Source organism: Homo sapiens, chromosome 15, assembly GCF_000001405.40.
Source record: "Homo sapiens chromosome 15, GRCh38.p14 Primary Assembly".
Taxonomy (NCBI): domain Eukaryota; kingdom Metazoa; phylum Chordata; class Mammalia; order Primates; family Hominidae; genus Homo; species Homo sapiens.
In genome coordinates this window covers 35,442,795-35,466,058 of record NC_000015.10, presented here as the reverse complement: position 1 = coordinate 35,466,058, position 23,264 = coordinate 35,442,795, and the positions used below count along the sequence as shown (strand labels likewise).

The 23,264-nt window shown below is 35.5% G+C and overlaps 1 protein-coding gene across 11 annotated transcripts in view; it reads left to right on the top strand.

Moving 5' to 3' along the window:
- Positions 1–23,264, top strand: part of DPH6 (diphthamine biosynthesis 6) — a 401,189-nt gene that overhangs the window by 80,107 nt on the left and 297,818 nt on the right. For all 11 annotated transcript variants that reach the window (XR_001751412.3, XR_007064493.1, XR_001751413.3 and 8 more), the window contains exons 4-5: positions 11,239–11,312; positions 15,256–15,374. Coding sequence is in view for 7 of the 11 variants with exons in the window: in XM_047433263.1 (XP_047289219.1) it covers positions 11,239–11,312; positions 15,256–15,374 (193 nt within the window). In the remaining 4 variants the exon portion in view is untranslated. The remainder of the gene's footprint in view (positions 1–11,238; positions 11,313–15,255; positions 15,375–23,264) is intronic.

Here is a 23,264-nt window from a genome sequence, read left to right as displayed (position 1 = left end):
TGGCCCCACCTTATCTTTTTAGCAAAAAGATTGCTTCAGAAACTCAAGGAAAATAAACAACTGTAGTGCTAGACTTCCATTTAGTTTCACATGTAGGTTGAATTTGATCTGGGATGACTTCATACTGTTGCAACTAAGATGGAGACTTAGAAGTAAAATAACATTGTTTTAAATGGATATAACTGACAAATTATTATGCTCTTCTGCAATTTCTTTGTCATTTTACTTTCAGCCTTAACAACTTTTTCCCCTATTTAATGAAAGCCCACAATGGGAGATAATAATACTACAAATTAGTGACCTAATATTCTGTCATGAGCTCACTGTTTAATGGGGGAGCTCCAGATGGTGATCATTTTCCATTTTAGAAATTTTTTTATATTGATGATTTTAAGAAAAAAACAAAAGATTTTTTAACTAGTCCAGCAATATTTTAATTAGATTCCTGAATATATTACTTGGAATTCTAAGTGTCACTTTCAGAATCATTTTATTTAAGATAATATTCATTTCTTTGGTTATTTTTATTAGCCTAGACTTGTGTAATTCTACCAAAGTGAAAAATTTGAAGTTTAAGGAAAAAGCATCTAATGCTATACTTGCCATATAAATTTCTCGCTTAGTTATCCAGGCCCTAGAACGTCGTTGGCATTCACAAATGTTTATTTAATAATGTTGTGTTACCAGAAGTCCAAATATTGCCACTCAGAGCTATAATGCAAGTGTGCTTCTTTAATGAATGGTTCGTATTAAAAATGTTAGAATGCCTTTCAGATGAAAAACACTTTGAATTCAGAAGATCATTTTTTTTCTCAACAGGCAGGAACTCATTAACAGAATAAAACTGGTAACTGAGGCATTTTTCAAAGAAAATTATATCCCCGATAAATGCAAGCTGCATATCTTCTTATCTTTGTAATAAGTAGGCTGAGTTTTCATTTATAAGAAAGGACCACTTGTTTTCAATTTACCTTGTTGGCTCTGTGAGCCAACATTTCAGTATTGAGACAAGTGGATATTGAGTCAACAGTCTAATTTGTGTCTAGATTTCTACCTTTAATTCCTTCTGCTAAACTTGTGATCATCACTATGACCATATGGCTGAATGTCTTCCTCATCTCAAACTCTGTATTGGTTGCCTTTTAGCTGCATGTAATATAGTAGAAATTTGCATATGAATAACACAACATGGGGTACATTTTATAGTAGAAGTCCATTTCCATCCTCATGTGTGTATGTTCTTGACACTTTAGTGCACTGGTTTTGAGAGTAGTCATTAACAAATCTTTAGGACTAGGTTATAAACTCTTACAGACAGGTTTACATTTTGGTGATTAGAATAGGACTATGACATATTAGGTCCTTATTGATGGGTTGTTTAATAGAAGATTCAAGCACACAGTCAGCTACCAAATGGAGACCAACAGTTAGGATTGTGAGGATTTGTTGACAGATAAATTATTTATATATCTTTTTAGAACCAGATTTGTTTCTTTGAAAAAAATATTTGTCAGATTTTATACATAAATGCTATTTTAGGGAAGATGTTGGAAGACATCAGTAGGAGCTGTTATCTGCTATGAATCTATTTTCTTATCATCTAGAAGGACAAAGAATCAGCATTTCTGACTGTTTAGTATCTGGAATATAATTTTTTAAAAAAGTATTTCCTAATGTTATCCTATAGGTGAGAATTGTCTCCCTTGTGGTCTGTTATAATGTATATAGACTTATGTCACATATTTGCCTTATTTTTTTTTTTTTTTGAGACAAAGTCTTGCCCTATTGCCAGGCTGGAGTACTGTAGCACGATCTCGGCTCACTGCAACCTCTGACTCCCTGGTTCAAGTGATTCTCCTGCCTCAGCCTCCCAAGTAGCTGGGATTACAGGCGCGTGCCACCACGCCCAGATAATTTTTGTATTTTTAGTAGAGACAGGGTTTTACTATGTTGGCCAGGATGGTCTCGAACTCCTGACCTTGTGATCCGCCTGCCTTGGCCTCCCAAAGTGCTGAGATTACATGTGTGAGCCACCACGCCCAGCCATTTGACTTATTTCTTTATGTGTCCATTCCTCTGCATTTCTTATCACTAGATTTTAATTTTTTAAGAACATCGACTGTGCTGTTTTCTAATGTGTTTTAACTTTCCTAGTATAGGACCTGTCACAAAGTGGGACTTTTAAAATTACTGTTTGATAAATATATGAATGATTGTGTCTGACAGCTTACCAGCACATGGGATAAGAGATGAATGTGTATATATATATATCCATAGGTATATTTTTAATATCATTTCCCTCTAATTAAGAAAGTAATACATGGGTTGTAAAAATACTTAAAATATAAAGTTGGAAATAAAATAGCAAAAATGAAATACTACTCAAAAATAAGAATTATTACACTTTGGTCTATTTCTGGTCCTCTTTCTACACTTAGGGCTATTTCAAAAAATACATATTTTAGTATGTACTTTATGAACATTTGCTTCGCTTAGCCTTATATCATTAGTAGTTCCTTGTATTTCATGTCCTTTGAAAATATGTCTTTTAATGACTGCTTTGTTTTCCCTCTTCCAAATGTACCACAGTTCATTGAATCATCCTTTTGTTTAGGATTTTAGGGTTTTCTAATTTGTATTTCACTTACATGTAGAATATAAATATGATAAATATTTATATAACTTGTGCACATTTACAATTATTTTTATAGACTGCATTTCTGGATATAAATTTGAAATTTCTGGGACTATGAGAATAAACATCATGAAGGTTCATGATACATACTACAAAATTATTTTTCAGAAAGGATGCACTGATAACAGCCCCATTGGTGGCATATGAGATTATGCAATTCCCCATACACTCATCAACTTTTAATCTGAGTATTTATCAAATTTTACACACACACACGCACATACTCGTATATATCTGTTTGACAAAAAGTATCTAATTTTAGCTTATATTTTCTTTGTTTTTTAAGAGGTTGAAATTAGTTATTTGTATTCTCTTAAAAATTACCTATTAATATCCTTTCCTCATTTTTACTACTGGTGTGTTAATTCATCCCATATTGATTTGAAAGACAAAGATACCCTTTGTTATGTATATTACCAAATGGTAATTTTATTTCTATTTATTGCCTTTGTTTTAGGTCATTGTTTAAGTACAGAAATACTGTAATTTTATGTAGTCCACATCATTCAGTTATAAATATTTATTTAATATTGTACCAGGTACTTTTCTAGAGCTGAGATTACAGTGGGAACGGGACCAAGTACCATCATGGAGCTGAGACAGACATTTTAAACATAAATATTTAATTTTTAAAAAATGATATAATTTTAGGTAGTACTGTGAAGAAAATAAAGCCAGGGCAAGGACATAGAAAGTGATGGTGAAAGGTTAGGAGGGATATTTTAGAAAGAGAAGTCCTCTCTGAGATATTTTCACAGAGACCTGGAAGAAGTGAGGGAATAAGCCACATAAATTCTAGGGAAGGTGTTTTACAGGCACAGGCAAAGGTAAGCCCAGAGACCTTGAGGTGGAAACAAGCATAGGTGTTTGAGGAGCAGTAAGGACTGCAGTGTGCATCAGTGGAGTATACTTGGGAGTGCAGTAGTTGGTGGTGATGTCAGAGAGGTTGGCAGAGTCCAGGCATAAATACCTTTAAGGCTATCTGCAAGGAGCTTGGATTTTATTCTTAAATAGAATGGGAAGTCACTGAAGGATTTTGAATTGGGGAAGCTTCATGCCATGGCTTGTGTTTAGAAAGATCACTCTGTTTGTGGAGATAGACTGTAGGGAGGAAGAGTGGACTTAGGGAGGCCAGTTAGGAAGCTATGGTAATAGTCAAATTAAGGGGTGGTGGTCATTAGGACTAGAGTGGTAGTAGTGGAGGTGATGAGAAGTGGTTGGAATCTGGGATATTTTTGGAAGGTGAAGCTCACAGAACTACTGATTGATAGGATGCACGTCATAAAGAAAAGAGAAATCATGAGTGAATCTAAAGTTTTTGGCCTGAATAACAATATACATGTTGTGCCATTTCCTAAAATGAGGAGCAATAGGGAGGATTTCTGTGTGGGATGGATATATGTGCTGGATCAAGAGCTTTGTTGAATCTGCAGCCTAACTCAGAATTCAAAAGTGTTTTACCTAGGATATCCAAATGCTGGAATTTTAGGGGGAAAATATAGCTTTCCTTCTATATAGAAGAGAGTAAGTGGTTCTTTGAAAAACATTACCCTGTTTTTTCTTTTTCAACCTAAATTTTTATAGCTTCCTTTGACATATTCTTGGTTTAAAGAAATGTTTAAGAAATACAAGAATATATAAAGTAAAAAGTGGAAGTCCGTACCCCCTTCCTTCATTCTCCACCCATTCCCACTCTCCAGGGTATCATCATTATTAGCAGTGTGCCATGTATACTTCCAAAAGAAGACTTGGTCCTTCTTTCCTTAAAAAAAAAAAAAAGATCACAACTAAGAATTTCTTTCATTGTATTTAAAAGACCAAAGGCTGCACTTGACTGATACATATACAGCATGTATGTGCATGTGCATGCATACTCCCATGCACTCCCAGTTGCAAAAATCAACTGTTTACTACATAGTGCTTCCCAGCCTCAGTGGAGGAACTTGAAGATTGCTGTGGCTTTTCTTTGTACATTAACAAAAATGTATTCTGGCTGGGTACAGTAGCTCATGCCTGTAATCCCAGCACTTTGGGAGGCCAAGGCAGGAGGATCACAAGGTCTGGAGTTTGAGGCCAGCATGGTGAAACCCCATCTCTACTAAAAGTACAAAAAAATTAAGGGTATGGTGGCACGCGCCTGTAGTCCCAGCTATTCGAAGGCTGAGGCGGGAGAATTGCTTGAACCCGGCAGGCGGAGGTTGCAGTGAGCCAAGATCACGCCACTGCATTCCAGCCTGGGCGACAGAGCGAGACTCCATCTCAAATAAATAAATAAATGAATAAATAAATAAGTATTCTGAGAACCATGGTTGATCATCTAGATTCAGCTCTTGGATTCTTAAACATTGTATTGATATATTTATTGGCTCTTTCTGAATAAATTCTTGGTATAACTGTTCTTTTGCCTACAGATAGGTGTGGAAATAGTTCTAGTAATGAACCTTTTTTTTTTTTTTTTTTACCAGTTTGTGAGTATCTCTTTGCTTTAGGAAGTGCCGTCTCTATTGTTAAAATTGTCGACATAGGTCAGACAGCTGCCTGGACTAGCTTCCCAGCAATCCTGCAGGTGTGATTCATATTGACAGAGATTGGAGAAGAAAAGTATTCTAAGCAACAAATGGGCCTGTGATGCCTGCTTGTCTAATTTGGTCATAGTTAACTTTGTAAGAATCTGTTAATGTCCGATATTTACAAAGTGAGGAAGATAATGATAATCCACCTCAGAGCGTTGTTGAGAGCAGTAACTAATACTAATATAAATGTTTAATGACATTATGCACTGCTATTTCTAATACTCAGTGATGCTACTGCTGACTTTATTTCCTGAGATGAACTTATATATCATCATTTATAGTGATAATGGCCTAAGCAGAATAGTCTCACTTGTGTCGGAGAGCCCCTGTGGTTTAGCAATGTGCCAGCCTATTTAGGGTCCAGTCTTTGTCTCTAAGTTCTCAGTTACTAGCATTATTATCTTTAATTTCTATTTTCTTCCCGTTTGGTCTCTACTACTTGATTAGCTTTTGGTTATCTTCATGACAAGAATGTAATTTAATATGAATTAAAATCTCCAAATTCTATTAAATTTAGTAATAAATATTCATTCACTGATTAATTATACTTTTTTTTCCTCTGAGGATCTGAAATTCATTCTTTGAAGAACTGGCAGTGTATGTGTCTTTCCTTCAGATGTTTATTCTTTTTTCTGTTAATCATGACTGCAGCTTTCTCCTAAATGGTCATAATCAACCCCCTAATGGTAAAATACAATGGTTTTGTTGAAGTTTCTATAGCATATGGTACTATGTCAGTAAGAAAGAGCACAGCTGTGGTTGGTAGATGGTCCTTAATTTAAAGGCTTGGTGTTTTATTTACCAGCTTTGTTAACTTGAATGGGTTAATCACCTTGGTTTTTTCACATATGAAATCAGTTTAATAGTATTTTGGATTGTTATGAGGAATAACTGAAATAAGATAAACAAAGTACCTAACATAAATCTTAGTGCATACTGGGTACTTGGTAATGTTGTTACTTTGTCCTTGCCTTTTCATCAAAATTTTCTGTATATTTGTGCACACAGTTACTTTATCCTGATTATATCTTCTGTCATTATGACCACTCTTTTCGAACGTCTTCACTGGGTTTTCCTTCCCTTACCTCTCCTTACATGTTGGTGTACCCCCGGTGTCTTCCACTCAGCCCTCTTCTCACCCTATATCCTATTTCTTGAGGTTCTTGTTTGCTCCCGTGGCTTCAAGTATATACTGACAACACCCACATATATTCCTATACTGTCTTGAGCACCAGAGTTGTATTCAGTGTACCTAATAGTCTTATCTATTTGGATAGTGCTATAAACTAATTATGCCCCCCAACCCAAATTCATATGTTGAAGCCCTAGCCTCACATGTGATGGTATTTGGAGATGTATTTGGATGGTATTTGGATCTCCTTTGGGAGATAATTAGGTTTAGATGAGGTTATGAAAGTGAGGCCCTCATGATAGAATTAGTATCCTTGTAAGAAAAGACACCAGAAAGGAGTTTGCACTTTCTCCCTGCCACCCCTGGAACCATGTGAAGACACAGCAAGATGACGATCATCTACAAGGCAGGAAGAGAAGCCTTAAGAGAGTCCCAGAGAATTCATGCTGGCATCTTGAGCTTAGACTTCTGGCCTCCATAACTGTGAGAAAGTAAATTTCTGTTGTTTAAGCAACCCAGTCTACATGGTATTTTGTTGTGACAGTATGAGCCACACAAAGATACCTAGCAAACAAATTGAATACAACATATGCAAAACTAAATAAACAGAGTATTTTCTTTTAAAACATGTATATATTTTCTTTCTCAGTTAATAGTCATTTAAGGTAGAAACATTGGTCCCATTCTTTAGGTTCTCTCCTTATCTCTCTCCAGGTTTGAAGGGAGAATTGGGCTGCAAGGGGCACGGGAACTGTTTGGGAATAACTGAAATGATGTCTATCTTGATTACAGTACCAGTTTCACTGGTTTTGATCCAAAAGGATTGCATTATGTATTTTAACTGTATGCAGTTGATTGTACATGATTATACCTCAGTTGAGTTGGTTTAAAAAATTTGTAGGGATAGGGTCCCAGAGTCTATATTACTAATTTCCTGTAGCATACTTGGTTTTATTTCAGCTATGACACAAGGTGATTCATTTGGCTGTCTTTATGCTGTCTCAGTACATCTTTTATGGTAGTAGCCATTCTCTTTTTTTCTCTGCTGACACTTCCATTGCTATTGTTTATTTACTGACTTTTTCTCCCAAATGATATGGGTCAGGGATCAGGACCCGAACCTAGCTATGTCTTTTCTAAGGCGTAGATTGACTATGTGGTAGATCTTTATCTTTTAAATATCTATTTTGCCCTTTATTTGTAGTTGCGTTCAAAATGATTAAGGAATCAGCAGAAGTCATTCTTATCCCTGGATTATTCAGGTCTCACTGTGCTGGAAAACTGTGTTGCAACTCTACCTAGAGTTGCGTGTCAAGGGTTAGTAGGCTAGTCTTGAGAAGTCATAATGAGAAAGAGTGTTAAAACCCATGAGTGAAGGGCTTTGTCCATCAAAATGAAAGAGTTAGGTTTTTATCCAGTAGTAGCAGTACGGTCAGCCCTCTGTATCCACGGATTCACATCCACGGATTCAACCCACTGTAGATAAAAAATATTATGAGGAAGAACCAATAAAAAATAAGAATACAAAAATAAAAATACAAATTTTAAAAATACAGTATGGCAGCTATTTACATAGCATTTACCTTGTATTTGGGTATTATAAGTAATCTGGAGACTAAAGTTTATGCAAGGATATGCATTGGTTATATGCAAATACTATACTATCTTATATTAATGGACTTGAGAATCTGTGGATTTTGATTTGAGGGGGATTTCTGGAAACAATCCCCCACTGATAATGAGAGATGACTGTAGTAGTAGTCAGTAGTAGTAATAGTAGAAGTAGTAACACAGGTAGTTATAGAAGTAATAGGAATAGTAAAGATCATAATAATGAAAGAAGAAAATATTTGCTGAATGCTTACCAGGTGCTGGATACTGTGTTATTTGCCTGAATTATTTTATTCAATCTCCATAGTAACCTTGGAAAATAGGAATTGATATTTTTTGTCTTCACTTTATAGGTGAGGAAACAGACACAGAGAAATTCAGTAACATTCAAAATCACAGAGCTAGTAACAGGGCTGGATTTCTACCAGGCAGTAGTAATTACAGTTATTGGGCCAGGTGTGGTGGCTCACACCTGTAATCCCAGCAATTTGGGAGGCCAAGGCAGGCAAATCACTTAAGGTCAGGAGTTCAAGACCAGCCTGGGCAACATGGCAAAATCTTGTCTCTACTAAAATACAAAAATTAGCTGGGCTTCCTGACACAACACATGCCTGTAATCCCAGCTCCTCAGGAGGCTGAGGCACAAGAATCACTTGAACCCAGGAGGCCTCAAAAAAAAATTATTGAACAAATACAACTGATGGTCTGTATATAGGCTCAGTGTTGAAGAATAGTCAGAGTTTACTTAGTGCTGATTAGTTAAGTGTTATCAAACAAAAAATAAAATAAATGGGGCCAGGCACGATGGCTCAAGCTTGTCATCCCAGCACTTTGGGAGGCCAAGGCGGGCAGATCAGTTGAGTCCAGGAGTTCGAGACCAGCCTGGGCAACACAGTGAAACCCCATCTCTACTAAAAATAGAAAAAAATAGCTGGGCATGGTGGTACACGTCTGTAGTCCCAGTTACTCTGGAGGCTGAGGCAGAAGAATCGCTTGAACCCTGGAGCTGAGATCACCCCACTGCACTCCAGCCTGGGCAGCAGAGGGAGTGAGACTCTGTCTCTAAATAAGTAAATAAATAAAAATTAAAAATACATGAAATAAAATGAAATAGATGGGAGTAGAAGATAATTCCAGAGAATGCATGTATACAAAGAAGAAATTGTTTTAGGGTTGTGATGAGCATTAACTAAAAATCATAGCACACTAGTGAATGGCAAATGGATAATAAATTCCAATTATTATTTTAATAGTAATTTGACAGCCAGGCACAGTGGCTCACGCCTGTAATCCCAGCACTTTGGGAGGCCGAGGCAGGTGGATCACCAGGTCAGGAGTTCGAGACCAGCCTGGCCAATATGGTGAAACCCCGTCTCTACTAAAAATACAAAACTTAGCTGGGCGTGGTGGCACACACCTGTAGTCCCAGCTAGTCGGGAGGCTGAGGCAGAAGAATCGCTTGAACCCTGGAGGCGGAGGTTGCAGTGAGCTGAGATCGTGCCACTGCACTCCAGCCTGGGTGGCAGAGCAAGACTCCATCTCAAAAAAAAAATAATAATAAATAAATAAATAAATATATATATATATATAGTAATTTGACTTAGTTAAGGAAGAAAACAACAGTGGCTTTTGTCTTTGTTTCCATGATCTCTAGAGAAATACACACACTCCTATACATCTATAATATTTAGTACTTCATTATTTTTATAGCAGAACTTCAGATAAACATCTATATGATATAGGAATATAACTAAAATTTTGATAACATTATTCAGCAACTCTGATCTATACTGTATTTACATTTAATAAGGAACTCTATGTCATGACTTTTTCTAATGAATACAAAGACTTTCATGAAAACAAAAATGGCTAGGAAGGTTAGGGAAAGGTTATAAGCAAATGTTCTCACAAAGTTGCTGAAATAGGAAAGTAAAGGAAATAGCTCTTTTCCTGACACCTTATCTGATAAAAATAATCGTTTTATTTTGGGGTGATTTGGGCAGGTATTTCTCCATCATTTTGGAGGGCAAATTTTAAATCGACTTTAAAGACATAAAAAATTCCTTTTTTGCATTTTTGTTTATTTATTATGGCATCCTTTTAGGTACACAGGGTTATTTCAGTATGACTTGAAATATTAACTTTTGTTTGATGTGAAACACTTTTGTTTTTCTTTCTAGTTGTCCAAGTTTGGTAAGACCAGAGTATTCATGATGAAGCGATCTCTCTGAAGTAGTTTCTTTTGTACATCCACAGGCTAGGATGGATTTCTTTTACACCTATTCAGAGAATTTCTATTCAGTTTGTTATTAGTAATCACCCCCTAGTCACTTTCTTCATATCTGTTTTCTAGATAACAGTTCCCTAGTTTACACCCATATTGTGTATTATTCTTCCCTAAGTGTATTATCTTATACTCTTTACATTAAATCTCACCTTGGACCTGTCATTTCAAATCCCCATGTTGTCCATAATCCATCCATGTACTTGATTGATCTTGTTTTGTTTTCTTTTTAATCCATTCTAGCTTTGTATCCTCTGCAAACTTGATCATACTTGAATTTACATTCTCCTCCAGCTCATTAATGAGTATGCTAGACAGGATAGTTGTCATTCCTGTGGGACCATGCTGTATATACTGCTGGATGCTCTCAGTTGCAACTATGTTGATAATAATTCATTGCTTCCTTCCCATGACAGAATTCTTTATCTACAGTGCTATACTGTTATCCAGGCAATGCCTCTACCATCTCTGCTTTCTGGATACTCCTATTTCAATCATTTTTTTTCTAAGATTTACAGAAAAATTATTGTGCTCCCTTATCTATTTATGCCATTGCTTAATTTTTAAAAGAAGTTACTCAATCTGGGAAAATACTGTCCTTAAATAGAAATTTCTCAAAAGTTTCCATCGAACATCAGTGAGTCTTTAAAAATACGTTAAGTGTGAAACATTTTGGAAGTGCTGCCTAAGTCTTTGCTTTCTCCATGGAAAGGGATCTCAGTTATTTAAATTTTAAGTAAAACCATAATTATTTTTCTCACAGCTGAGAGAATGATTTAAATATATGCAAATTTTTTCTGAATGTCGATTATATTTTCAGTAAATTACTCTGGTTTGAGGTAGTTTTCTAGATGAGACACAGTTCATTTATAATTTTCAGAGCATGATGTGGAGCCATTTGTTACTTTATTTTTAAAGTTATGGTTTTTTTCTTTATTTTCAGGAAAAAGAAGAAGTAGAGGGGATATCAGTAGGTGCTATACTTTCTGACTATCAGCGTATTCGAGTGGAAAATGTGTAAGAAAACATTAATTTGTTAGTTTTAAAAGTGTATGTGTTTTAAGAATGTGAATAAGTGAAAAATAATAATCATATTCAAATTATAAATAGGTATGGTAGTCTACGTGCTCCATGGAACTAAATGTGTGTATTTACCTAAGTAACAAAAGTCATGCTTTTCCTTTTTTCTATCCTTATATCTCACATGAGGAAACTTAACTTATTTAGTGTAAGGAAAAATAATCTATAATAGAATTGAGACAGATTTTTTAGTGAGAAGTATTCTCTTCACTTTTTTCTTATTTGATTTAGTATATCCTGTTAATCTCTTTTAACTCATCATTTGTAATAAAAATCAAGAGATAATAAAAGGAATACAGTAATATTTTAAAGAAAAAATGTTTACTAAGGAGTCCTCTCCTCTTTGGTTCATATAATTCAGTTCTTGTCTAAAAATATTTATATGATTGAAATGCTTACATATAAAGCCATTCAACTTTCAGGGAATTTTTAGGATGTTCCTCCCCTCGTCCTAGCCCGTCTCTACTCCCCTAAGGGAGGGAGCACTAGTGAAGCATTTAGTCTGTAACTGCACATACCAAAACGGTCAATTCTATTGATCTATTCAAAAATCATGAGGTTAAATGATAATATTGGTTATTTAATGTTGGCCTGGCAAGACACCACCTGAATGAATTTACTTTTCATTTTTAATTTATCTAGATAAATATAATATTTTATAGAGATTCTGGGCATAATTATATTAACAAAAAAAATTGGACTGCATTATTTTTCTTAAGCACAATTTGACCTACAAATAAGTGATTTTGCTAGTCAAAAGGATAAATAGAATAAGATAATGGCTGTATTTATATAATATTTTTATATTCTTGATAAAGAAACATTCCTATTTACTATCTCATTTAAAACCTACATATTAATAGATTTGAACACTTGTTTCATTTTTATTTTATTTATTTTCTCTCTAATTCCATGGTGGATTTAGGGCAGTTAAAAAAAATACAGAATTTTAAGAGTGAATGAAGGGAAAACAAGGTAAAGCATAGTTAAGTGAAGAGAAATATGATCTTACATTTTAGAGGTGTATCAGAATCTCTGGACGATGGATGATGATGATGGAGTGGGGAAGGAGGTCATGTGTATTTTGAGAAACTTTTCCTTACATTCTACCTAGATGTAGATCTACCGTTGAGAACAACTGATCTGCAGATGGAGATGAATTGCATATCCCTTAAGCCAGACATTAGAAATAATAGTATTGTCATCAAGTTTTAGATCATATTCTCTGAGAATTATTTAGTTTAAAAATTAGTGTTTTTTAAGAAGTTCAAACCCACAGGCTTTAATGGGTAGCCAAACTGGAGATAGGGATGACATCTATTTATGAAAGTTAAAAAGCCAAATAAAAATGTGCTCCTGATTAGGAGGCTGCCCATTACATATATGTGTATATATATATGGAAGAAGGGCACATGTCATGCCCATGGGTAGAGACTTTCTCAAAACACAATCACTGGTACACTTCAACACACGGTTGAACAGATGAACAGACGTTATATTATAAAGCATATCTGCAATTATTTTATCCTTGAAACTTCAAAAGTAATGTTACTGGGAGTCCATTGGTCCACAAACTCAATTTTGAATTAGCCTATGCCCAAATTTTAGTTTGTGTTGTATTATTACTAGTTCTTGCTGTCCTCTCACCCAGTGTTTAATGCCTACTAATCAAAACAGCCTCTCTACCTTTTTAAACTAAGATTTATTTTTTTATGGACAAAAAGTTTTTTCTTCCTGTCCTTATCGTAAAATTCGTGGTTGTTGCTTTGAAATTCCTCAAAATCTCTTGACTATAGACTTAAGTAAAATTTTTTAACCTATTTAAGTTCTTTAACAGTTCAAAATATCATGGCTCAAATAAACTTACTCTGTAAATCACTGCTGAATTTGAACTTGTGACATCTATTAAACACTTTACATTCTGCAATTATGTTTGTATTACATGGGTAGTTCACATTTTATTCTTTTTGTATTTATTAACTGCTTCAGCATTGCTTTAGATGTTCTGAGACATTTTAAAAGGGAAAATTACACGCAACAATCTCTGCAATGAGGAAGGTTTTGGTTTTTTGAAAGTCAGGGTATATGTAAATGAAAAAAATAGTGATATTTTTAAGGCCATGTATGAATAAATGACCAAACATGGTACATTTAATAAGTATTGGGATCTCTGAGAGAGAGAGAGAGAGAGAGAGAGATCAATATAGGCCAGAGAAGTCGGCCAAGCAGCCTTACAGATGCTAGGGACGCTGGGTTTTACTTATAAACCTTATAGACACTGGGTTTTAGAGCTATATTCTTGGTTTGAAATCTGATCTCAGCCAGTTAGTGTATGACTTGGGCAAGTCACTTGGCTTTGACTATCATTTATTGAATACCTGTTTTATCCAGGCATTGTACTACATTATCTATATTACCTTTAATTCATTAAACAATTATAGTCCTCTCTGAGAAAGTGACATTTAAGCAAAGGCACGAAACTAGTGTAATAGGCAAGAATGAGCAGGCAGCAGTGAGTGGTAGGATGGAGTGAGAAGAGAATAAGTAGTAGGAAATAAAGTGCAGGAACTAAACAGGGTGAGATCCATGGAGTGATGGGGAGCCACTGGAGGGTTTTGAGCAGAGGAATCCTATGATCTATTTTATGTCTTCTTTTTTTGTTTGTTTGTTTTTTGAGACAGAGTCTCGCTCTGTCGCCCAGGCTGGAGTGCAGCGGCGCAATCTCGGCTTACGGCAAGCTCCGCCTCCCAGGTTCACGCCATTCTCCTGCCTCAGCCTCCCGAGTAGCTGGGACCACAGGCGCCCGCCACCATGCCTGGCTAATTTTTTGTATTTTTAGTAGAGACGGGGTTTCACCGTGTTAGCCAGGATGGTCTCGATTTCCTGACCTCGTGATCCACCCGCCTTGGCCTCCCAAAGTGCTGGCATTACAGTCGTGAGTCACCGCGCCTGTCCTATTTTATGTCTTAAAAGGATCACATTGGCTGCTGTGTTGAAAATGGATTTTAAAAGGGTGAGGGTGGAAGCAGGGAAGGAAATTAGGATGTTGACATGAGAGAGAATGGTGGCTCAAACGAGGTTGTTAGCAGTGGTGTTAGTGAGGAATGATCACATTCTGCATTGTGGTAGATTGGATGTGGAATGCGAAGAAAAGGAAAGGATGATTTCATTTCACATTTTTTAATCCTCTTAAGAACTTTGAAAGGAACTATTTTTGCCCCTATTTATGAACTAGGAAACTAAGCACAAGGACTTAGATTTTACTTGACTTCAAAAGCCATGCAGCTAGAGTACAAAATGAGGTTTTAAATTCAGATGTGTCTTCACTCCAAAACCTATATTTTTTCTACTTTACCAATAATGGAAAATATCTAGTACAGTGCCTGCAGCATTGTACTTTTTTTCTTACTATTTTCTTTTTATTCAAATTCTTAAAAAAAAATTCAAAGTTAGTAGATAAGAATAGTTCACATAACTGTAGCTATTGTTAATTTAATAAATATGTGGCTATTTTATTAGGATAAATTATTGGCCCACTTTACATATGCTTCAAAATTTTGATACCCATGAAAGTTTTAAAAATGAGAGTATACTGGCATTTGTAAATTCTTTTACATAGATTTCTAAACTAAGAGTCTTACTAAAATTAATATTTCTAGTGTGCCTGGAAATTTCATTTTTATCAGTTTATGCATAACCCATGGAAATTAAATATGTTTATGTTGTATATATAAACATTATGCAAAATATGTTTTTAAAAGCATTTTCAATGCTAAAATCCTTGAACGAAGCATTATGTTTCAAATCAAAGTAATTGCTGTGGATCCAAGTATAAAACATTAAGAGATCATCTGACTTTCTTTTTCTTTTTCTTTTGTAGGTGTAAAAGGCTTAATCTCCAGCCTTTAGCTTATCTTTGGCAGAGAAACCAGGAAGATTTGCTCAGAGAGATGATATCATCTAACATTCAAGCAATGATCATCAAAGTAGCAGCTTTGGGTATGCAGCCAAACTATCAAGGGAGCTGTTTGTTGCCACATAGATGATCTCAGTTCACTAATAAGTAGTTAAAATGAACAAAGAAAACTGATTTAGAATATAAAAATGTGGAGTCACAGCTGAAGAAATTGAGTAAGCACCTTCCTTGCATAAAGAAAAGGAAGTTTTAAAGTGGTCTTTTGACCATTTGCCGAAGTGATTACTAGTAAGGCTTTTTTTTTTTTTTTTAACATATAACAGGTTCTAAAACTGATATTGTATTATAGTCCTTCATTTTAAGTTCTTTTTTTTTTAGGGTTTGGAATTTAGGCTTGTAGGAAACAGGAAATACAAGGGTTATTTTTGTTTTGTTTTGAGGTTTTTTGGAAGCTTTTTATAATATGTATTTGACACAAAACATTTTCCTTGTATTTTTTAGCATATTTTGAATAATGCTAAAATAGAATGATGGTTTTGTTTTTGTTATAAAAAATAAATAGGGTACTGGTTTTTGTTGGGGATGGTGAGAAAATCATGTTTGAGAAAAAGTTATCTGATTAGTTAGCATAGACACAGCAGGCAGGTGGTAATCTGATTCAAGTATGGACATTACATATGAGCACATTTAATTTATTTGGAATTTCTATAATTATATTCATTTTTGAGAAACCGTAGGGTTTGAGCCCAGTCTGTTCATTTCGTGAACCTGTTATAGAAAATGCCCTGAAACCTGAGAGTTCCCAAAGCCTAAATCATGTACCTCATTTGAAAGTGTTTACCTTGCAGATCTCTGAAATAACAAGGTCTCAAGCTGTAGAAGATTTTACAGATACATTCAGTTTTTAAATAAAATTAAGAGAAATAGTACAGACCCCATAATATTTCTCCATGGTAAATACCAAGCTACTGTATTCTTGCTGAAGTTGAGGTGTTGTCTTCAGTTGAAGCCTTTATTTAGTGAATCTGTAGTTGATCTCCTTAGCTGTTAAAACAAGAAAGATTGAGTGATATTATGTTTTTATTTCTGAGAAAAGGTTGCTGAGCAGCTCTCATGATTAACGTTATTATATTTGTCATATGAATTTCTATGTGACTCTGTACAGAGTATTCCCTCTTGCTTTTTCTTTGTCTCTCACTCTCTCTTTGAATTTTCTAAGATTACATAATTCCATAATGAAGTTCACGTGACGTCTCACTGAAAGGTACACATACTATTCCTTTTACTGCCCGATAGATAAAAGACTGGATTAGGACCCAGAGAGACCTCCCTTATTGAAAAGATAGTCAAAGAATTTGACCTTATTGCCATCTTTTAATAGTATATAACCGATATTGTGTGTTCTTTCATTTCTATCTGTGCCTCTCTGTAGGGATTAGAGATGGGGAATTAGCTTTATCAAGCCTTTGGGTAAAATGTAAAAACTGAGCTGATTTGTCTTTGGCATCTCAGTAACAAAAATATAGATCTGATTTTAACATTTACAGCACTGCCTGTGTGCTGACTGCCTATAGGTGTGCAAAGATGAAAGTTATTCTTTAGAATAATATTAAAGAAAGGTTTATTAAATGGCACAGTACTTCTGAAGACATAGAAACATATAAATGATGCAATATAGGTTGCTAAGCCTTTTTCCTCCCATTTAAAATTATCAGAACAATTTTAAATGGATTTAAGCCAAAAAAAAGGGACTTTTTTTGGATTTAAGCAAAAAAAAAAAAAATGAGACAATAAGACCTTTCTGTGGGGGAGAGGGATCAGTAAAATTTTGTGGACCATTTTTCTATGAAATGGTCTTATAATAGAAAAAGGTCAGTTCTACATGAATGCATACAAATATATTTTTTATAATTATGGTATGTAACCTTTATGTCTTATAGGCATCAATGAACTCATAAAATTTCTGGCTTCTTTGTTTCATTATAATGTTTTAAGGGACTCATCCATATTATTGACTGAAGCAATAGTGTGTTTATTTTTATTGTAGTATAGTGTTCCCTTGTGGGAGACTGTAATTTAATTAAATTTAATTAACACCACAATTTAATTGTCCATTCTATTATTGATGACATATAGGTAGTATCCAGTTTGGCACTGTGATAAACAGTGCTGCCACGAAGTGGTCATCTTACACATTTTCTATCCCAGACCTAGAACATCCTTTTTTTCAGGAAGCCCTGATTTCTTTGAATGTGAAATGATATATGTCTGTATGTGTATATCTAATGACTCATGAGTTCATGATATTTCACAATCAAATTCAAGACAACATAAGGATTATCATAATTCTGTATTCCATCACTGCACTCTTTCTTCCACAGTGAATCTTGATTATCAAGGTCACAAGAGATATTATTTATTAGAAAATCCCATAATTTTTGGGAACAAAAAGACCAAATAGCAGATCTATTATCCATTCTTTCCAGTAACTGGGGTAGGCTTCCTGGAAAGAAAGAAGAAAGAACTTCTATAATCTTTCTATAAACATATAATTATAGACCTCATGGCAAAAAACAAACAAAGAAACAAAAAATCACTAATGGTATTTACTAGAGGGGAAGAGTATCTTTGGACTGCTTTTAGCAGGATATATCTAGTTGCTAAAAAAGAGAGAGAAATGATAAAGGAAAAACGTGAGACCACTTTTACCTATTACTGGAAAACCTCCTGTTTCTTGAAAGATATATTTGTTTGCAAAGTAACTAAATTGATCACTAGAAAAACTATACTGGTTTAAGGGTTAGTTTGTTCAGTTAAATGATGGTGTAGTAACATTGACTATGAAAGGAAATAATGCTAGGACTCTACTTATAAGCTTTCTAGGATTGCGATATAGGAATGAGATGATGGGGGAGGAGGCAAGTACACAACTATATATCTTTCCCATTTCGTAGATTTTTTTTTTGTTAGTTTTGCCTGATCCAATGGTCCTAGGCTCGAGTTTAAAGTTGCACATACCAAAGGAAAGTGTTGTCAATGCACAAAACACAATATCAATACATTACATTGACAGTGCATATTCTTAAAGGCCTTTAGGGGTATGGATAACTTCACTCTGTGTAGGCAAATTAAGGCCTATCCATAAACACAAGCCAAGTGTCTTGTGATTCTTATCTGTCAAATCCTGTAATATCTGCCAAGGAGAAGTGCTAACAAGGCTGCTGTTTTACTGTCCCTGTGGGTTTATAATACAACCGTTGAGCCAGTTAGCCCAATCATGGGGAAAAGGGTGTGGGTCAAAACAGGTAATAGATGGAAATGGCGGGGGGGGACGTATAAGAGATAGAAAGGCATTATAAGTGAATTCAAGTTCTGTGGAGAGCTGTAACCATGTGACCTTCCATGGCAGAGCCTCAGAGCTAGAAAATAATAAGGTATTTGGTATCTCTCCGTGGTAAATACCAAGCTACTCCATTCTTGCTAAAGTTGAGTTGTTGTCTTGGATATCTCTCTCAAATTTGATGCTCACCTAACTGATGTTGAGAGAACACTCTGGATGTGTTTTCTGGAGAGAAGGGAAATTGGTGATGTATAGCTCTACTTAAAGATTCCACCTATGGCCTGTAATCCCAGCACTTTGGGAGGCCGAGGCGGGCGGATCACGAGGTCAGGAGATCGAGACCATTGTGTCTAACACGGTGAAACCCCATCTCTACTGAAAATACAAAAAAATTAGCCATGCGTGGTGGTGGACGCCTGTAGTCCTAGCTACTCAGGAGGCTGAGGCAGGAGAATGGCATGAACCCAGGAGGCAGAGGTTGCAATGAGCCGAGATCACGCCACTGCACTCCAGCCTGGGCGACAGAGCAAGACTCCGTCTCAGGAAAAAAAAAAAAAGATTCCACCTATGTAATCTAGAGGAATAAAATGGCAGAGTGCCCCTTGATGACTCAATGTAGGAGCAGTTCACTACAGTTACAACTCATTTCTTGGTTTATAGGCTATCCAGTTGTCCCTTGAACTACAAGGTGGTTAGGAGCACCAACCCCCTGCACAGTTAAAAAGCCACGTAAAACTTTTGACACCCCAAAAATTTAACTACTAATAGCCTGCTGTTGACCAGAAGCCTTACCAAAAACATAACAGTCCATTAACACATTTTGCATGTTGTATGTATTACATACTATATTCTTACAATAAAATAAGCTGGAGAAAAGAAAATGTTACTAAGACAATTATAAGGAAGAGAGGCCAGGTACAGTGGCTCATGCCTGTATTCCCAGGACTTTAGGAGCCCAAGATCGCTTGAATCAGGAGTGAGACCAGCCTGGGCAACATAGGGAGACCTATGCCTATAAAAAGTTTAAAAATTAGCTGGGCATGGTGGTGTGTGCCTGTAATCCCAGCTACTTGGGAGGCTGAGGCGGGAAAATCACTTGAGCCTGGGAAGTCAAGGCCTCAGTGAGCTGTCTTTGCACCTCTGCACTCCAACCTGGGTGAAGAGCAAGACCCTGTCTCAGAAAAAAAAAAAAAAAAAAGGAAAAAAAAAAAAAGGGAAAATACACTTATAGTACTGTACTGTATTTATCAATACTGTAAATTTATGTCATCTGTTTACAAAATGAATCATTGTCTGAAATTGCAGGCAACCACAGCTGCAGATCTTGATCTACAGAACATCAACTTTTTCTTATAATGTCATGACTTTTCTCTGCGTCTTGAGAACACATCCAGCATCACTAGTGGCAGTTCGTATGGGTCCCATGTTGTTACTCGAGGTTTACAGTATTTACGCTAAACACAATGAAATATATGCAAGAACCACTAGAGATCACTTTTTACTGTGATACACAATTTACTGGAGACAGAAACTGCTCTGCTCATGCAGAGATGATTAGCATCACATAGTATTTTAAGCAGACACTAGCAACACTTGAGCTCACCGCAGTGGCAATGTAAGTTGGCTACAAAATTAATACAGTAGTAACAATAGATAATAATAGTGAATTTTATGCAGTTATGATTTAATGCTGCATCTTTGTTTACCTTTCTCTCACCTGTGAATGATATGTGCGTGTTTTGATAAATTTCAACCTTTTATAATAGATTTGTATATATTTTATGGTAGTAAATGATAAAATACATGAACAGCTACATGTATTTCATGCATGCATGACATACCTTTCTCTTAATTTTTTCAGTATTTCTAGGCTACATGGTTCATATGTTGAGTTTTTTCAAATTGTCACACATCTCTCCAAATATACGTATTGAAAAAAAAATCCATATATAAGTGGATCCAGGCAGTTCATATTCATGATGTTCAAGGGTCAACTATTTACCATTCAGATCTCTTTTTTTTTTTTTTTTTTGATGATGATGATTTGACTATTACTAATTAAAGTACACAGATGGAGGATTCGGAACAGTAGGACTTTTGCACTCCTTGTGGACATAAATCAAGACAATATGTTGCTAAGACATCTACCTAGGTATAATGGAGAGCAGATTTCTACTGCCTGTTACAGCTTGATTTCCTTCTAATGTAGAATATGTGAATGTGAATGGAATTCATTTAAGGGAATTGGAAGACCACCTTGAGGGAGATGGATTTGGATGTAATGTAATGAATAAATGTTACTAACAACTCCTCTCTGGAGTTATGCAGAGTATGTTTGTGAAAAGCCTATGACACACCCAGAGAGAGCTGTATTTGATACATAATATACCAAATGACAATCTCATGATACTTTTTTGTATGTGTGCAAACTATTTTTCTAAATTGTACAAATTTTACTAATGTACCACAGTAATAACCCATGTTGTTGCTTGATGAGTATTGTCTCTGCTGTCTTGATATTCTGAAGGCATTTTTAGTAATGGTCTTGAGGACCATTACTAATATCATACCAAATCAGACCAAAATAATGTTCCTGAAAGCTCGTGATGAAAAGGATTTGCTAATCCAAATAGAGACACTAGAGGGAGCTCTCTTCCAGGAGACTGGCTGCATCTGGAAATGGCCCTAGAGGGACAAGAAAGCTTTAAATGACTGGACTCATAGAGTATTTAATGGAACATCATATTGGTCAACAGTGCAAGAAGAGGGCTTATACTCTTATGTAGGAAAGACTTTTAAATATTCCAATTGCTATGGAAGTTGTTGTTTTTAAAGATTCATTGCCAGCAGTTCTAGTAGCCAAGCTAATATTGAAGAAAGACTCTTGAATATTCCAATTGCTATGGAAGTTGTTGTTTTTAAAGATCAATGACCAGCAGTTCTAGTAGCCAAGCTAAGGATGCCCACTTATGGAAACACTATGGTTAGCCTAAATTATGGGACATTGCTGAACAGTGTGGCCTTTATATTTGTTCTCCAATGGCCGAAGTATCACAGATAAAAAGGGAATTTGTCTTTCTCATGCTACACTGATTAGAATTGGAAGGATAAAGGAATGACATTATGTTATCCTGAAGGGAGCTTGTTGCATAATGACATCTGGAAGCCAATAACTTTTAAAACCTATACTATGCTATGTATAATTATATCCTCAAGCCAAATGGAATCCCGAATTTATTGAACAATAATCTCTAGTCACTAACCTAGTCACTGTGACTATGAATGTGCATTTAAAAAGGTTGTTTTTGTTGGGAAGAAACAGAGAATGGTATTGTGATTCTAGTTGACCTCATGTGCCAATCTGGGCCAGAGTATAGCAGTGAAGGACCTGGAGAGCTGTTCTGATGGTCTTGGAACTCTACCTTATTTGTTAGGCTGCCTGATTACTTCTCTTCTTGAAATTATCAGAAAAGGTTGAAACTGGGTAAGGTGTCCAATTTGTTTGAGTCTGATTTGACAAGCTGTTATCTTGGTTTAACTCAACTTCATATTTATTTTGTATTACACTATAAAATAAATATCACATTGTATGTGGGGCTGTAGAGAACATATCCTTATGTTTCTGCACAGTTAGGACCTTCTGAGCAAATTTTACAGAAACTTGGGACCTAGGCTAAAAGATGAGCTTTAGAACTTAATTTATGACTGAACAGTTAAGTGAAAACTCCAGAGAGACTTACCTTTCTAGAGGTATCTGTTTACATTTCAAAGGAAGGGTTGAGACCAGGACCTTGGAGACATTTCTTGGGTAGTAAAGCTGGAGACACTAGTTTTTCCCCTCAGGAAGATTTATTTACATTCCAAAGTGTGAAAGCACATATCCTTCCCTTTACTTTTCCAAGGAAACTCTCAGAAGGGAAGGGACAACAGCTGCCTCTTTTTTCCTAAATCAGTACTCAGATTTATTTTTCCAGACCCCTTGCCTGTGGTAGATGAAATTACTTGCAAGATTATATCTCTTTCTCATCACCTTGCTCCTGGAGTAAGAGCTGGGGCAGAGAAAAGTCAGAACAGTATTATTTACTTATTCTTTGTAAGTAATAAAAATAATAATGTGTTCTGCTCCAGAGAACTCTTGTTGGGACTCAGCATACCAATAGATATAGATATTATATTAAAATGGTAACAATATATGAGACAATTTCAGAATAACAATGCTAATGCCACTACTGATGATATAATTTCTGAGAACAGTTAAAAAGAATTTTTTGTATGTGCTTTTATGAATTTCCCCTCTCATTTTTAAGAGATCTTTTTATCTGTATTGTCTGAGCATATAGCTACTATGACTACACATTCCTTATGTTTTAAGTTTTATGGAAATGTAATTAATACACTATGCATGTCACCCACTTAAAATGTACAATTCAATTTTTTTAGTGTATTCACAGGTTGTGCAATCATCACCACAGTCTAGTTTTAGAATTTGTGTTCCCCAAAAAGGAATCTCATGCTCGTTAGTAATCATTCTCAAGTTGCCTCCAACCCCTGCCCCACTGCTCCCAGCTTTAAGCACCATGAGGACTTTGTGTCTTCATATCTTTATAGATTTGCCTATTCTGGATATCTCATA